This window comes from Homo sapiens, chromosome 1, assembly GCF_000001405.40.
Source record: "Homo sapiens chromosome 1, GRCh38.p14 Primary Assembly".
Taxonomy (NCBI): domain Eukaryota; kingdom Metazoa; phylum Chordata; class Mammalia; order Primates; family Hominidae; genus Homo; species Homo sapiens.
The window spans coordinates 26,786,317-26,801,178 of NC_000001.11; the positions used below are offsets into that span (position 1 = coordinate 26,786,317).

The 14,862-nt window shown below is 47.9% G+C and overlaps 1 protein-coding gene across 12 annotated transcripts, besides 7 other annotated features; it reads left to right on the forward strand.

The window, feature by feature from the left end:
* Positions 404 to 553: an enhancer, noted in NCBI's record as "active region_518". NCBI's record gives its function as "activates an Ori minimal core promoter by ATAC-STARR-seq in GM12878 lymphoblastoid cells {active_cell/tissue: GM12878}" and the evidence as "EXISTENCE:reporter gene assay evidence [ECO:0000049][PMID:35858748]".
* Positions 738 to 14,343, forward strand: PIGV (phosphatidylinositol glycan anchor biosynthesis class V). Of its 12 annotated transcripts, none has more exons than NM_001374484.1 (5): positions 1,233 to 1,490; positions 4,443 to 4,577; positions 7,797 to 7,890; positions 8,518 to 8,918; positions 11,247 to 14,343. In NM_001374484.1, exons 2-5 carry the CDS (start codon positions 4,500 to 4,502, stop codon positions 11,526 to 11,528), a joined length of 855 nt encoding a protein of 284 aa, NP_001361413.1. In that variant the 5' UTR covers positions 1,233 to 1,490; positions 4,443 to 4,499; the 3' UTR covers positions 11,529 to 14,343. The 12 variants fall into 12 exon arrangements, 10 of the variants coding, with proteins under 10 accessions (NP_001361407.1, NP_001361413.1, NP_001361409.1 ...); NM_001374485.1 differs by lacking the exon at positions 1,233 to 1,490 and adding an exon at positions 1,872 to 2,503; NM_001374478.1 differs by lacking the exon at positions 1,233 to 1,490 and adding an exon at positions 738 to 902 and having other exon boundaries at positions 7,797 to 8,918.
* Positions 1,074 to 1,513: an enhancer, noted in NCBI's record as "active region_519". NCBI's record gives its function as "activates an Ori minimal core promoter by ATAC-STARR-seq in GM12878 lymphoblastoid cells {active_cell/tissue: GM12878}" and the evidence as "EXISTENCE:reporter gene assay evidence [ECO:0000049][PMID:35858748]".
* Positions 1,560 to 2,386: an enhancer, noted in NCBI's record as "NANOG-H3K27ac-H3K4me1 hESC enhancer chr1:27114367-27115193 (GRCh37/hg19 assembly coordinates)". NCBI's record gives its function as "activates a minimal SCP1, AML or CMV promoter by ChIP-STARR-seq in primed H9 embryonic stem cells {active_cell/tissue: H9 hESC(primed)}" and the evidence as "EXISTENCE:reporter gene assay evidence [ECO:0000049][PMID:30033119]".
* Positions 1,564 to 1,773: a silencer, noted in NCBI's record as "silent region_491". NCBI's record gives its function as "represses an Ori minimal core promoter by ATAC-STARR-seq in GM12878 lymphoblastoid cells {active_cell/tissue: GM12878}" and the evidence as "EXISTENCE:reporter gene assay evidence [ECO:0000049][PMID:35858748]".
* Positions 2,074 to 2,273: an enhancer, noted in NCBI's record as "active region_520". NCBI's record gives its function as "activates an Ori minimal core promoter by ATAC-STARR-seq in GM12878 lymphoblastoid cells {active_cell/tissue: GM12878}" and the evidence as "EXISTENCE:reporter gene assay evidence [ECO:0000049][PMID:35858748]".
* Positions 3,081 to 3,210: an enhancer, noted in NCBI's record as "active region_521". NCBI's record gives its function as "activates an Ori minimal core promoter by ATAC-STARR-seq in GM12878 lymphoblastoid cells {active_cell/tissue: GM12878}" and the evidence as "EXISTENCE:reporter gene assay evidence [ECO:0000049][PMID:35858748]".
* Positions 13,768 to 14,017: an enhancer, noted in NCBI's record as "active region_522". NCBI's record gives its function as "activates an Ori minimal core promoter by ATAC-STARR-seq in GM12878 lymphoblastoid cells {active_cell/tissue: GM12878}" and the evidence as "EXISTENCE:reporter gene assay evidence [ECO:0000049][PMID:35858748]".

Below are 14,862 nucleotides of genomic sequence, written 5' to 3' on the forward strand. Positions count from 1 at the left end.
CCTTGTTTTCCTGTCAGAGCAGAAGTCAGAAAATGAAACAGGAAACAGAGCGGAAGAGGAGGGGGTTGGGTAGCAGAGAAGGAAAAGAGAAATTGCAGGAAAGTACAGCTGAAAATCTGGATAAAGTTCTACCTCTACAGGGTGACAGCTGAGCTTTTAAAAAACATTCTGACTTGTCTTGAGAGACCCCTGGCCTTTTTACAAATAGATTTTTGAGAGAATTTGATGTGGACAGAGGGAACCCTGAGAATGCATGTCTTTTTTCCCCTTGTGAATTTACAGAGCAAGGACAGTTCATTTCTCAGTTTTGTCTTTGCAGAGAGAGTGCTGCTTGGAGCCTCATGGTGGACTTCTAGAGATTCAAGTCACAGCCTTAGGCCCCAGTCACAAGTGTGTCCCCAGGCTTTGCCACGTTACTCACAGGCCTCTGGAGCTGAGAACAAGTGCGTGGCACTGAAAAACCTGGGGGAAGGGCCATGAAACTCCATTTTTTCCCCCTTCTCCAACACACAACGACTAAATATGATTTGCCTTTTCTCCACCTTGCACACAACAGATATCTGAAGGCAATTTAGGTCTCAGGGCCTGAAATGAGTTACAGAGTCAAGAGATACAGTCCCAGGCCCCCACAGACTGATGTGGGCTGGTCTTCGCCTGGAGAGGTAGCAACCATCTCTTTGTTCCCACCCACATGAGTAGCCGTTGCAGAAGATAAACCCCTCCCTGAGCCAGGCTGTGGCCAGAGGCTAACCCGGCCCCTGGCTTCGTTTGGAGGGCAGATAACTGAAACCACATAAGGCTTTGGAATCCTGAGAAACAAGAAATCCACCAACGGAGAAGGATTTATCATCTGTTTCCTTTAAGGAGGGTGCAAAGTTGTTCTAACAGTTTCCGTTACAAGGGTACAAACTGGCCGCTCCCCCCAATAGACGGTTTTGTTGAGTTCGCCTCTTTTTTTTTCTTCTTTTTTTGGCCCCACTTCCTATGAGAGAAACTGCTTGGGTGAGGGAGGTGAAAGGAGCCCTGGAGGGTGTTCTCTGAGGTTTTCTTCACCATCCTCATTAGCCACCTGAGGTGGGGCTGAGGACTAAAGTAGGACAGAAGGTCTCTGGTAGATAGAGGAGGGGAAAATCAGGGGGATCCCCCACTTTCTTCACACCCAGGACGCAGGGTGCCGCTGCCGGCCACAGAAACCCCAAGAATGTTTTTCTTTGGCTATTCAGAGGACATCTATTGTGTGTCAGGCCCTGTGCTGAGCTGTTGTTGCCTGACAGCAGGAAGAGCGCGGCTCTGGTTTCTGTGAAGAGGCTGCGGGTCAGCCTCCGACTACAAGAGCCTCGGCCCACACCGGGAACTCAGTGAACGTCAGCGGGAGCTGGGGCAAGAGCACTGACTCTGAGACAGCAGCCTCCGCTCACTATTTGAAGGCGGGGTGGCGGGGGGCCTTGAAGGAGAGCGAAGTGCGAGAGAACTCTTCAGGTGTCACCAAGGTGGGAAGGTGCTACGAGGCGAGGCGCCGAGCGGCGACCCCCATCCCGCTCGCCCGGAGTCAACATGGCCGCCGCGCAGGGAGGCGGGGCTGCTCCAAGTCCGGGCAGGAGCGGGGCGGGGACGCCGTCGGCGGAGCCAGCGCGCAGGCGCGGGCCGCGTGGGCCCCGGATGGAGGAGCTGAGGTTCGGTCCCCGCCGGGGAGGTCGGGACGGGCAGGGGCTGAGGACCCCGCGCCAGCTTGGGAGCCCTGGAGTTCTGGCGGGAGGGAAGCTGTCAAATGGAAGCCGGTAGAAATGAGACAGACGCCCGGAGAAGCGGGGAGCCCCGCCCCTCCGCCATAGCAGCCTCGGGCGCCGCCTCTTCCTTTCCAGCCTCCCGCCCTCGTCTGCTTCCGGCCCTGTGGCCTGGTGGGGCTCTGCAGGCTCCCTCGGGAGTGGTCCTTGGGCCGTGGCCCCTCTGGGGTGAGCGTGGATGATTAGTACCCAGAAGGGACTGTGTCCAAAAGGAGCCGGCCAGAAACGGGTTGCGGACACGGCTGGGCTGACAGAAGGCAGCCCCCACGAGGCCTTTGGCTCTGAGGACCCTGGGTCAGAGCGACTTCTCCAGCCTGCGCAGGGGGTGTTAGTCTTACCCAGAGGGTCCAGAGCTGCCGTTCAACAGGATGTCCCAGATTCTCAGATAGGGCCCAACTACCCTAAGCATACCTAGCAAGGGCAGGCTGCGGCATGGAAGTACTGGGCTAGGCGTTTGGGTGACCTGGGTCATAATCCTGGCTCGGAAAGGGCGCGTACCCTTTGGCGAGGGATGCGGGCTGGTACCGTGAGGTTTAAGAAGCAGAAAACATGACAGCCTCTTTAAGTAGCCCTGGGTACGTCACTTGACCCCAGTGAGCCTCAGTTTCCATATCCATAAAATGGCGATGGTAATTATACTAGCCTCACAGTGTCTGATGAGATCTCTGGAGCCTATTTATCTCACGGGAAAATTTTTGAAGAGTGAAACTAGTTGATCTGTAAGTGTCCTGCCAGTTAAGAGTCTGTGATTTGGCAAAGGGGTTGTTGGGAAGTGAGGTGGGCAATTAGCTGAGAGGGAGAATTGACTAGCTTTGTTTTTACTTGGTTTACCTGTAAGCAAAGTGTGGGCTACACACATCTGTAGTCGCTGAGGCTAGAGCTTGACTCGAGAGAGGAAAGGAAGAATGCAAGCATGGTCAAGTGGCAGAGGTGGGTTAGGTGCTTTTCTGATCCCAGCTTCTCTTCTGCATGCGCGTGGGAAGCCAAGGAAGAGGAAAAAAGAGTGAATTCGCCCTAGGATAGGGAAGGAGTAGCCGCGTGAGGTTGAGTATGCCCATTTCCGTGATTTCTCTCGATTCAGCGAGTCATACGTTGGAAACGTTTAGATTCACAAACTATCGTTACTGTCTGGGGCTTTCAGAAGCTTGCCTTTGAACCGAATTTTCGTGAGCCAACCGGTGTGGAATTGGGGGCCCCTCCCTTCCTCCAGGCCTCCTGGCGATGGAGTAAGCAGCAGGCGCCCCCTTGTGCCAAGGAAAGAGTACTGTTGCCATTGGCCAACTTGGCTCCCTTTCTGGGGAAATTTTATTTTCCTGTGGCTTCTGTGACTTTGTCGTCTTGCTCTTGACATGAGATATGATGGGAAGAATACTTGGGGCACTGATTTCATATCTAGAGTCAGTGAACTGCTGATGCTGTATCCTGTCCCTACCACTTCCATTCATTCAGAACACAGGTTTAAGATGCCTATTTGTGTTCTAGGCCCTGGGATATAGTTGTGATGTAAAGCCCCTGCCCTTAGCAACTTAAATAAGCAATAGCAATAACGGCAATAGGGCAGAATGTAATGAGGGCATAGCACACTGTCTAGTGAGGATCAGAGAATTCCAGAAACAAGTGATACAGGTTTTTTAGGTATTCGCCAGATAAGAGAAGAAAAAGAGTCTTCCAGCCGTCCTCCTTAAATTTCTCAGTTCAAATTTTTTTTTTCCTTTTAGGCATAGTTCTTCATCCCAAATTGATGAGCTGCCTCTGATGCTTTTGCTTTCCTTTCAAATTTCCCAGGCTGGTGTTTGAAAGTTCTTGAGGAGCCTTTATGACTCCTTTTAGCTCAAGGAATTATAAAAGATGCCTTAAGGTGCATTCCCTGCCTCGGAGTGGCTTTGCGATTGTTTATACGTTGCTACCATCCCAACAAAGAGATGGCAAATAACAGTTTTCTCCATCCCTGGTAGTCTACTCTGTCTTCACCCTCAGTTTGTTTCAGCAGTGTGAGCTGGCTGAGGTCCTGCTGAGTGGTGGTTTTCTTTTCCTTCCCCACTTAATTTAACAGACCAGCTGAACACACATCAGAGAGCTAAGCTAGAGTGTGGAGTCATTATGGTCTTCTAGTATGGTTTTATGCCCCACTTTGGGGACTCTGGTTTGGGACCTAGTTTATTATTCTGGGCAAGAGGAAAAGGGCACACGCCAAATAATAGCAACCACAACACAGATTTGAGTAGAACTTCACACTTTGGTCTGTTTCACCATCATGACAATTTTGTGAGATAGGAAAAAAAAAAAGTCTGCTCCCATTTTTTATATAAAGAACTGAGGCTCAGAGGGACTAATGAGAACTTGTAAGTGACAGAGTCAGGAGTTGAACCCAGATCTTTAGTTCCTGCAGAAGTGCATCCAATAGGCTTTAAAAGATTTCTGTGACCTTAGCTTTCCAGCTACTTGCTTAGCTGTATGGAACTTTACCAACGACAGTTCAGGGCTTCACAGTGACACCTACTGAACCCATTTGCTGTCAAGATGCTTTCCCCTCATCTGGGAAGTTAGGTGGTTGGTTAAGTTTGTCATAGTAATTCTGAGAGGGGAGGTTCCAGTGACGAATGCTTTCAAGAATTTGCTTTCACTCGATGTGTGACATTTTCCTCCTTTGGGGTTTAGAGGCCTGAGGGAGCTCAATCCTGGTAGCAACACCCCTGAATTCCTGGTGGTGAAAGGATGTGGCCCCAGGACCCATCCCGGAAGGAGGTGCTGAGGTTTGCAGTCAGCTGCCGTATCCTGACTCTGATGCTGCAGGTCAGTCTCCCATCCTTTGTCCTGAATGTGCTATTGCTACATGACTGGACTAGGCAGTAAGAAGTGTCCCCATCTCCTTTCCACCTCTCAGGTGTGCCCCTCCATGTGGTTGGAACCACAGAGACATAGACTTTAGAGCTGAAAAGTTGTCAGGAATCTTAGAAACACGGTCTGTTGATCTTGTTTTACCCATGAAGCAGCAGAGGCCCAGAAAGGTTAAGTGACATCCCCAAAGCCACATAGCAAGATAGAGAAGGGCTGGAGTTTGACCCCATGTTTCCTAACTCCTGAGCTAGTGGTCTCTCCAACAGACTGTGATGTTCCGTAACCAGAGATGCTTATAGGGTGGGACAGCTCAAAGTATTGCCCTGTGTCCCCTTACTAGGAGACTGAGCATTGTGTCAGTTGAGTGGGAGAAACGTGGCAATGTGCAAGTCCTAAAACCATCTGGATATGTAATAGTTCCTCCTATTCCCCCGAGTGCCTGCCCTTCCTGCCTCACCCACACACAACTCTCAGTGCACTTGCCCGTTTGCAGCTCCCTTTTCCCTCCGAGGCTCCCCTTGATACACATTTTAATAAAATATCACGTATATATGAATTATTTGCTGCCTAGCACAGTGCTTGGTGCCTAGCTCAGTATGTTCATAAATGAATGAATGTTGTTGAATGTATGTCAACACCCTAGGGATGTTAGATTCACATAATGATGTGTACCTTTTATCCCTGTACCATTCTCTCTGAGGCTCATAACTGGTCCCTTTGTGGAAACTTTCCTCTCTCCTTTCCCACTACATAAGGCATGGCAGACTCTGCTGGGTTTCGAGATTAGTTAAACGTGTCCACCTGCAGGCTAGGGCTGTTTATCTGTGACTGTCACTCCTATCCTGTTTGTTTTTACTGTTTGAAGTGGCCTGATAAGGAAACTGACCAAAAAGTTAAAAAGCCTTAAAAATGGTGCTATGCTCCTGTTGCCAGGCTAGGGAGACTTACTCAGTGATGTCTCTCAACCAGCATCAGCTGGGTTACTGGCAGAACCAAAGGAGCAATGCTGCAAGTCAGCATCCAGGATAGGGAACCAGGACAGCTGGGCTCTAATTCGGGTGGTAATTTTGGAAACAGTATATTTCCTCTAGGCAGTTCATTCAACCACCAAAAATTTTTAAAGTACCTATTGCGTTCCAAGAACTGTGCTAGGTGGTAAGTGTAAAAAGACATGGTCTCTTTTCTCTTAAGTAGCTGATGATCTAATAGGGCAAAAAGACTTTTTTTTTTTGAGACAGAGTCTCGCCCTGTCCCCCCAGGCTGGAGTGCAAAGGCGCGATCTTGGCTCACTGTAACCTCTGCCTCCCAGGTTTAAATGATTCTCCCTCCTCAGGCTCTGAAGTAGCTGAGGCGCCCGCCACCACACCCAGCTAATTTTTGTATTTTTTTTTTTTTTTTTTGAGACGGAGTCTCGCTCTGTCGCCCAGGCCGGACTGCGGACTGCAGTGGCGCAATCTCGGCTCACTGCAAGCTCCGCTTCCCGGGTTCACGCCATTCTCCTGCCTCAGCCTCCCGAGTAGCTGGGACTACAGGCGCCCGCCACCGCGCCCGGCTAATTTTTTGTATTTTTAGTAGAGACCGGGTTTCACCTTGCTGGCCAGGCTGGTCTCGAACTCCTGACCTCGTGATCTGCCTGCCTCGGCCTCCCAAAGTGCTGGGATTACAGGCGTGAGCCACCGCGCCCGGCCAGCAAAAAGAAATCTAACAGTAAATGCGATTTAATTATCATCCCCCCACTTCCAATGCTCAAGCCATCAGAGTATATCCCTAAGTTACCCTTCGTTGCTGCTGTCGTCTCTGTCAGTGACAGCTAATCCTTGACGGTTTTGGCTCCTGGTTCACTGTCACTCTTCCCAGCACTACTTCTATTGATTTCCTGGTGATTTCATTATTAATGAAGATGATGTGTGCAGTGTCCTGAAAAGAGTCTATCACTTGAGTGTGAGTTCTGGGGAAAGGGTGTTAGAGATTTGAGGAAAGAGAAAAACATGTAACATGTAACAAATTGTTTTCCTAAATGACAACTCAGAACAATAGAAGGCATTAGAAGAGACCTTCCATATGCGCCCATCACATTCTTCAGCCTACCTATGTCTGCACCTTTGTGCTTTCAGTACTGAAGGTTGGATGAACCGTCTGTCCTCTTCTCTAAGGCTGGCTCCTCTACCTTTGTACCCTTTTTGCCTACCCAGCAATTCTCCCCTCTCTCCTGCATACCCTTTTACTGGGTTATTTCCACTAGCATACAAACCTTTACCTCCCACCTTAAAAAAAGTTTTCACTTTACCCCACATTGTTGTTCACCTACTGCCCCATTTTTCTGCTTCCCCTTATGGCAAAACTCCTCAAAGTTTCTTTTCTCCCATTCTCTGTTGAACCCAGTCTAGGTAGACTTCTCTCTCTTCCACTCCATTGAAATAGCCCTTGTCAAAGTCACCAGTTACTTTCACATTGTTAAATCCAGTGGTCAGTTTTCAGCCCCCATCTTACTTGACCTACCAGCAGCATTTAACAGAGTTGATCACTCCTTTTCTTCCCTTGGTTCTAATGCTCTCTTGGGTTCCCTGCCACCTCACTGACTGTTCCTTTTTTTCTTTATTGCTGGATTTTCATCCTCTTTCTAGCCTTCAGATGTTAACATGTCCAGGGTTCAGTCCTCAAGAAGAGTTCTAAGTGTTTTTGAAACAGGGTCTCATGCTGTCACCCAGGCTGGAATACAGTGGCACAATCATGTCTCACTGCAGCCTCAACCTCCTGGGCTCAAGCAATCCTCCCATCTCAGCCCCCCCAAGTAGCTGGGACTACAGGCATGTGCCACCACACCCAGCTAATTTTTATTTTTTTATTTCTAGTAGAGACAAGGTCTTGCTACGTTGCCCAGGCTGGTCTTAAACTCCTCGGCTCAAGTGATCCTTCCACCTCAGCCTCCCAAAGTGCCGGGATAACAGGCGTGAGCCACTGTGCTCAGACTTTTTTTTTTAGTTTTTATAGAGACAAGGTCTTGCTATGTTGCCCAGGCTGGTCATGGACTCCTGGGTTCAAGTAATCCTCCCATCTCAGCCTGCCAAAGTGGGGATTACAGGCATGAGCCTGGCCTTCTTCCTCATTTTATTAAATGGCAATTCTTTTCTTCCAGTTACTCAACCAAAATTCTGGTTTTTCTTTACTCCACAGGCCCTCTTCAATGCCATCATCCCAGATCACCATGCAGAAGCCTTCTCTCCTCCTCGCCTGGCCCCCTCAGGCTTTGTGGACCAACTCGTGGAAGGTCTTCTGGGCGGCCTGTCTCACTGGGATGCTGAACACTTCTTGTTCATTGCTGAGCATGGCTACCTGTATGAGCACAACTTTGCCTTCTTTCCTGGTTTCCCCTTGGCCCTGCTGGTGGGGACTGAACTGTTGAGACCCTTACGGGGGTTACTGAGTCTACGCAGTTGCCTGCTGATTTCGGTAGCATCACTCAATTTCTTGTTCTTCATGTTGGCTGCAGTTGCACTTCATGACCTGGGTTGTCTGGTTTTGCACTGTCCCCACCAGTCCTTTTATGCAGCTCTGCTTTTCTGTCTCAGCCCTGCCAATGTCTTCCTGGCAGCTGGTTACTCAGAAGCTTTGTTTGCCCTCCTGACATTCAGTGCCATGGGGCAGCTGGAGAGGGGCCGAGTCTGGACTAGTGTACTCCTCTTTGCCTTTGCCACTGGGGTACGCTCCAACGGGCTGGTCAGTGTTGGCTTCCTCATGCATTCTCAATGCCAAGGCTTTTTCTCTTCTCTAACGATGCTGAATCCTCTGAGACAGCTCTTTAAGCTGATGGCCTCTCTGTTTCTGTCGGTGTTCACACTTGGCCTTCCCTTTGCCCTCTTTCAGTATTATGCCTACACCCAATTCTGTCTGCCAGGCTCAGCCCGCCCCATTCCTGAGCCTTTGGTACAGTTAGCTGTAGACAAGGGCTACCGGATTGCAGAGGGAAATGAACCGCCTTGGTGCTTCTGGGATGTTCCACTAATATACAGCTATATCCAGGATGTCTACTGGAATGTTGGCTTTTTGAAATACTATGAGCTCAAGCAGGTGCCCAATTTTCTACTGGCTGCACCAGTGGCTATACTGGTTGCCTGGGCAACTTGGACATACGTGACCACTCACCCTTGGCTCTGCCTTACACTTGGGCTGCAAAGGAGCAAGAACAATAAGACCCTAGAGAAGCCCGATCTTGGATTCCTCAGTCCTCAGGTGTTTGTGTACGTGGTCCACGCTGCAGTGCTGCTGCTGTTTGGAGGTCTGTGCATGCATGTTCAGGTGAGGTGGATTCCTGACTGGGATAAGGATGTGAATACAGGCAAAACCCCTTGGCCAAGGACAGGGAAGGCAGCTAACATCTCCCGTTTGAGTGATCCATACTGAATTTATTCATTCAATGACTATTTAGGGTTATTCTTTATGCCAGACTCTGGGTCAGACCTCTAAGGATGAAACATAAATAAGACAAAATTGCGGCCAGGCGCGGTGGCTCACACCCATAATCCCAGCAATTTGGGAGGCTGAGGTGGGTGGATCACAAGGTCAGGGGTTCAAGACCAGCGTGGCCAAGATGTTGAAACCTTGTCTCTACTGAAAATACAAAAATTAGCCGGGCGTGGTGGCAGGCACCTGTAATCCCAGCTACTCAGAAGGCTGAGGCAGAAAATTGCTTGAACCCGGGAGGTGGAGGTTGCAGTGAGCTGACATTGCACCACTGCACTCCAGCCTGGGCGACAGAGTGAGACTCTATCTCAAAAAAAAAAAAAAAAAAAAAAAAAATTACTGCCTTGGGGGGTCTCATGGTATAAATAGGAGGACAGACATTTGACATAAATTATAGTACAGTGGGATAGAAAAGGGAGTGCTATTTTGAGATTTATTTTATTTTACTTTATTTATTTATTTATTTATTTATTTTTTTAGATGGAGTCTCGCTCTGTTGCCCAGGCTGGAGTGCAGTGGTGCGATCTCAGCTCACTGCAACCTGTGTCTCCTGGGTTCAAGCGACTCTTCTGCCTCAATCTCCCGAGTAGCTGGAATTCCAGGCGCCTGCCACCACCGCCTAGCTAATTTTTGTATTTTTAGTAGAGATGGGGTTTCACCACGTTGGCCAGGCTGGTCTCGAAATCCTGACCTCAAGTGATCTGCCCGCCTCATCCTCCTAAAGTGCTGGGATTACAGGCGTGAGCTACCACGCTCGGCCTGAGATTTTTTTTTTTTTTTTTTTTTTGAGACGGAGTCTTGCTCTGTCACCCAGGCTGGAATGCAGTGGCATGATCTCAGCTCACTGCAAGCTCCACCTCCCAGGTTCACGCCATTCTCCTGCCTCAGCCTCCCGAGTAGCTGGGACTACAGGCACCTGCCACCATGCCTGGCTAATTTTTTGTATTTTTAGTAGAGACGGGATTTCACCGTGTGAGCCAGGATGGTCTGGATCTCCTGACCTCGTGATCCACCCGCCTTGGCCTCCCAAAGTGTTGGGATTATAGGCACGAGCCACTGCGCCCAGCAAGATTTTTTTTTTTAAAGCTCAGATAAAGTATTATGGAGGCGAAGAAGTAGGTAACTCACTGGAGTACTTGAGAAAGGCATCATATTTCAGCTGGGTCCTGAAGAATGAGATTTTCCATATAAGAAGCAGAGGAGGAACATTCTAGGTAAAAGGAAGGGCATATGCAAAAACACGAGGGTTGTGAAAGGACCTGATTGGACTGAGATACAGGAATAAGCACGGAGGATATCTCTGGGATCTTTTTCCCTAATACACAGTTATAGTTATATCCATATTGGTTTCTTGACTGTTGACTTCAGGAGGTTCTCAACTCAGGCAGGCCCCCAATTTCCAGAGGAGATAACCTTAACCAATGTTTTGGGTGGTGGCGGTGGTGATAGAGAGGGATGGGAAAGGTTTGATCTTATATCTGATTTTCTGTTCTTGGCTGTGGCCCCACCCTGGGGACATCTTTTTTCCCCATGCCGACCTCTTAGCAGTTTCTTCCTGTTGGAGTTGCACATTGGCTGTTTCTAAAATTCTCCAAGCTGTATGGATAAGAGACACAGAGGAAATAGAAAGTAGCATTCCGTGTTTTTAGCTAGATTAAATCGTAGAATGTGTGCCAGCAAAGCTTAAAGTTTCCAGGTTAGCTGAGGGAGGCCATTTGGAAACTTGTGTCTGAACTCCAATAGGAGAGAGAATGTTCAAGCAATGGGTCTTCTGCCCATTTCCCTCTGCTTTGCCATCCCATGGGATAAGGGAACCACCTCAGGTTCCCAATCCCCAAATCAATATCACAGAGTTTAGAGTCCAGGCCCTCGGCTAAAATTAGACCCCATAGAGTTTCTAGTATTAATTGGCCCATTATTTTAATAGTAATTAATGTAATTAGTCTGTAGCTATGTTTATTTGTAATATGGAGGATGCCTGTCTGCTGTACATACATCTTTCTAAGACAGATCCTAAGCTGTGTTCAATTTCTTTTCCAGTGTAATACATTTCTAGTCACAGGACCATAGTTCACCCAGCAGTAGAGAAGTCCCCGGGCTGGTCCAATTTGAGTCAGTGACATTCCAGTAAATGTCTGGATATTCCCCTCTCATGATTTCTAGGTTCTCACCAGGTTTTTGGGCTCCTCCACTCCTATTATGTACTGGTTTCCAGCTCACTTGCTTCAGGATCAAGAGCCGCTGTTGAGATCCTTAAAGACTGTGCCTTGGAAGCCTCTTGCAGAGGACTCCCCACCAGGACAAAAGGTCCCCAGAAATCCTATCATGGGACTTTTGTATCACTGGAAAACCTGTTCTCCAGTCACACGATACATTCTAGGCTACTTCCTGACTTACTGGCTCCTGGGACTACTCCTACATTGCAACTTCCTGCCTTGGACATGACCTGGACTCTCCAGGGACAGGTTGGAAGCCAACTTAACCCAGGGGTCTGAAAGTAAAAATACACATTGGAACTGCCTCTGCTGCCCTGGGATCATTACTGTGTCCATTATAATCTTTCTCTTTCTCTTTGAAAGCTGGTCAGGAATGGGAGAAGTGTCAGACACTAGAGAGCCCCTTCTGGTCCTGGCTAGGGCAAATTTTAGACAACTATTTTCTCTGTAAGTGAAGATTGTCGTATTCCAAGTCTAAAATACACCTGGATCTGTCTAGTCAATCAACATAGCAGAGACAGTCTTAAACCTACCATTGACCTGTGTGTAAATTTAAATGTCAATTTATTGAAGTGTAAATTTCATCAAAGGCATTAGCTGACAGGCTGGTAACAGTCCACACAAGATGGTATAGGCCTGAACAGTGTAGTGGCAGTAATAAAGTGGGACCATTTTTTCCAAATGCGACATTGTTTCTGATGTTTTTTTTTATGATTTGTGCATGTATTTTTATATGAAAAAAACTTACAAAGATATGCAAATTAAACTTCTTTCAGTTATACATGCAATGAATTGCCTTTTTAAAAATAATACAGGCCAGGCACGACGTTTCACACTGTAATCCCAGCACTTTGTGATGCCGAGGTGGGCAGATCACTTGAGGCCAGGAGTTTGAGACCGGCCTGGCCAACATGGCAAAACCCCGTCTCTACTAAAAATACAAAAATTAGCCGTGCATGATGGTACACACCTGTAATCCTACTCGGGAGGCTGAGGCATGAGAATTGCTTGAACTTGGAAGGCGGAGGTTTCAGTGAGCTGAGTTTGCGCCACTGCGCTCCAGCCTGGGCAACAGAGTGAGGCTCTGTCTCAAAAAAAGTAAAAAATAAAAATAATACAAATCTTTCCATGTGGCAAAAAGTAAAATAATTTTAAAAAGTTAAAATAATATAAATCAGCTGGGGGAAAAAAGGGTAAGAAGAAGGCATCAGGAACCCTGGATTCTAGTCCTCTCAGTAAAACCCCATTTACCAGCCATGTGACTTGGGAGAGTTTTCAGAACCTTAGTTACCACCTCTGAAACCATGGGAAATGATGATATTCTTCAGGGGGTGGTGGTGAATGATGCAGTCTCTTGTAGGTCCCTTTCTGCTCTAACATCTTAAGAACTGCCTTAAACAACAGAATCACCCCAGTCTAAATGCTAATGTAGAGGCTTAAATGTGTGATTTTAGGAGAAAATATCCAGTTCTCCTGTTTTCAGCAATTAGAAGAAACTCCTCCTCCACCGAGTGCAACTCTTGGGAGTAATTTAGGTGGTCTTTCCTTTCAATGAGGGAAAGCAGTAACATCTGGCAGATAAGGTGCCTGTTGTGCCGTTCTCAGATGCCTGCTTACTTGATCAGTAGACATGGGTCAGAGGCGCCAACACGGCGGCAGGAATTGGTAAATTGTACGTAAGTCCAAGGTGGAATGAAATGGTATCTGCCCTGCTTCCTGGCCCCCGTTTGGTCATGAGCCTATCACTATAATGGTAGTAAGATCACTGGCCCCTGCTGAGCTACTTTTGCCCATTCCTTGAGCCAGACGAGAGTTTGGCTCTGTATCATCCATCACCTCTTTTATTTCCCATTTAAGCCAAAACATCCAGTAAGCAGAAACTCTTCAAAACAGATGGGTAATCATAAGCAGCTTCTGGAAAGCCTCAAGAATTGGAATTTTGACACACTCCCTCTGACCATGACAGAAAGCTCAACTTGCCAGCTGAAGGGAAGCTCCTGGCTGAGCCCCAGCACCCTCTGTTGGAGCTTCTGGTCAGCCTGGCCAATAAGCATTTCCCATCCATCGCCCCAGCACTAGGACAGCTGAGAGAATTTGGTTCAGAGTCAAATGCTTCTGAAAATGTACACACAGATCAGGGCAGCCCTCTGCCTTCTGCCAAGACACCAAGTGCCCTTCTTGGCAAACGATGATCACCCCTGCCCTAGTGTCCCTCCAGTTAGTTGGCAGAAACTGTTCCCTTTCTCCTTGCCAACAGCTGCAAATCCAGAGACTTCCACCTTGCGTGCAGGAAGTGTTGGGGTCCTGTTTCAGCTCTTTATTGCCGAGGTAGGAGCACTGGGTTCTTCGCTCTCCTCTTTGCCTCCTTTTGGGGGATAATCAGGACTGATTATTCCTCTACTGGAAGAGGTGACTCAGACCCCACAGAGTAGGTGTGATGTCACTGCTCTGGCAGTCTCAGTTTAACCTTCACACTAGATCTCATCATGCCCAGAAACCTTGTAACAGGAGCCCAGCTAGGTGGGTGCACCTGGCATGAGCTGGACAAGGTTTTCTCTCTGACCTTGCAGGGATTTAGTTGTTCTCTAAGGAGCTAAGGAATGGGCTGATTTTATGACCAGCAGCTGTCCTTTTACCATCCTATTAACAGTCTCTTTAATAGTCTGGGAGAGGGACATGAAGGACCCAAGGCAGGAAGTTTCCTGTTTACCCTGAGGCCTAACAATGCCACAGCTAGGTGGGGTGTCTACAGTTTCAGAGAAAAGTCATTTCCTTCTGAGACCCTGCTAAAACAGAAACCAGACGCCTCAGCCTCACGTACCTAGAAGTAGATGCTTTTTTTTGTTCTTTAATGAAGGTGGGAGGAGAGTGTTTGACATACCTTTACCAGTCCTCCTGGAAAAATGTTACTTTTATTGAATAGACCCTCTCACTGTCATCTGAAAATGTAATATGTGCAGGCTCAAGGGATTTGAAACTGATTGATTCTTTCAGTAATTGTTTATTAATGCCTATTTTAGGGGAATAAAGATGACTCAGCTATGCCTCCTGTCCTCAAATAACTGTCTAATAAGAGTTGCTAGCAGACACAGAAACATTAAGGCAGAAAGCAATAAATTCTGGGGAGTGAAAGGACACTGAAGCTTCTTGCTCTGTATCTCACTACTTGAACTTTTTTTTTTTTTTTTTTTTTTTTGAGACGGAGTCTTGCTCTGTCACCCAGGCTGGAGTGCAGTGGCGCGATCTCGGCTCACTGCAACCTCCGCCTCCCAGGTTCAAGCAATTATCCTGCCTCAGCCTCCCTAGTAGCTGGGATTACAGGTGCCCGCCACCACGCCCAGCTAATTTTTGTATTTTTTAGTAGAGACGGGGTTTCACCATGTTGGCCAGGCTGGTCTCGAACTCCTGACCTCGTGATCCACCCTCCTTGGGCTCCCAAAGTGCTGGGATTACAGGCATGAGCCACCGTGCCCAGCCCTACTTGAACTTTTTATGATTAGAATGAATTCAAGTTTTATTTGTGTGCTTAGAAAAAGGTAAGTGAGGCAGAGAGCATGTACTCT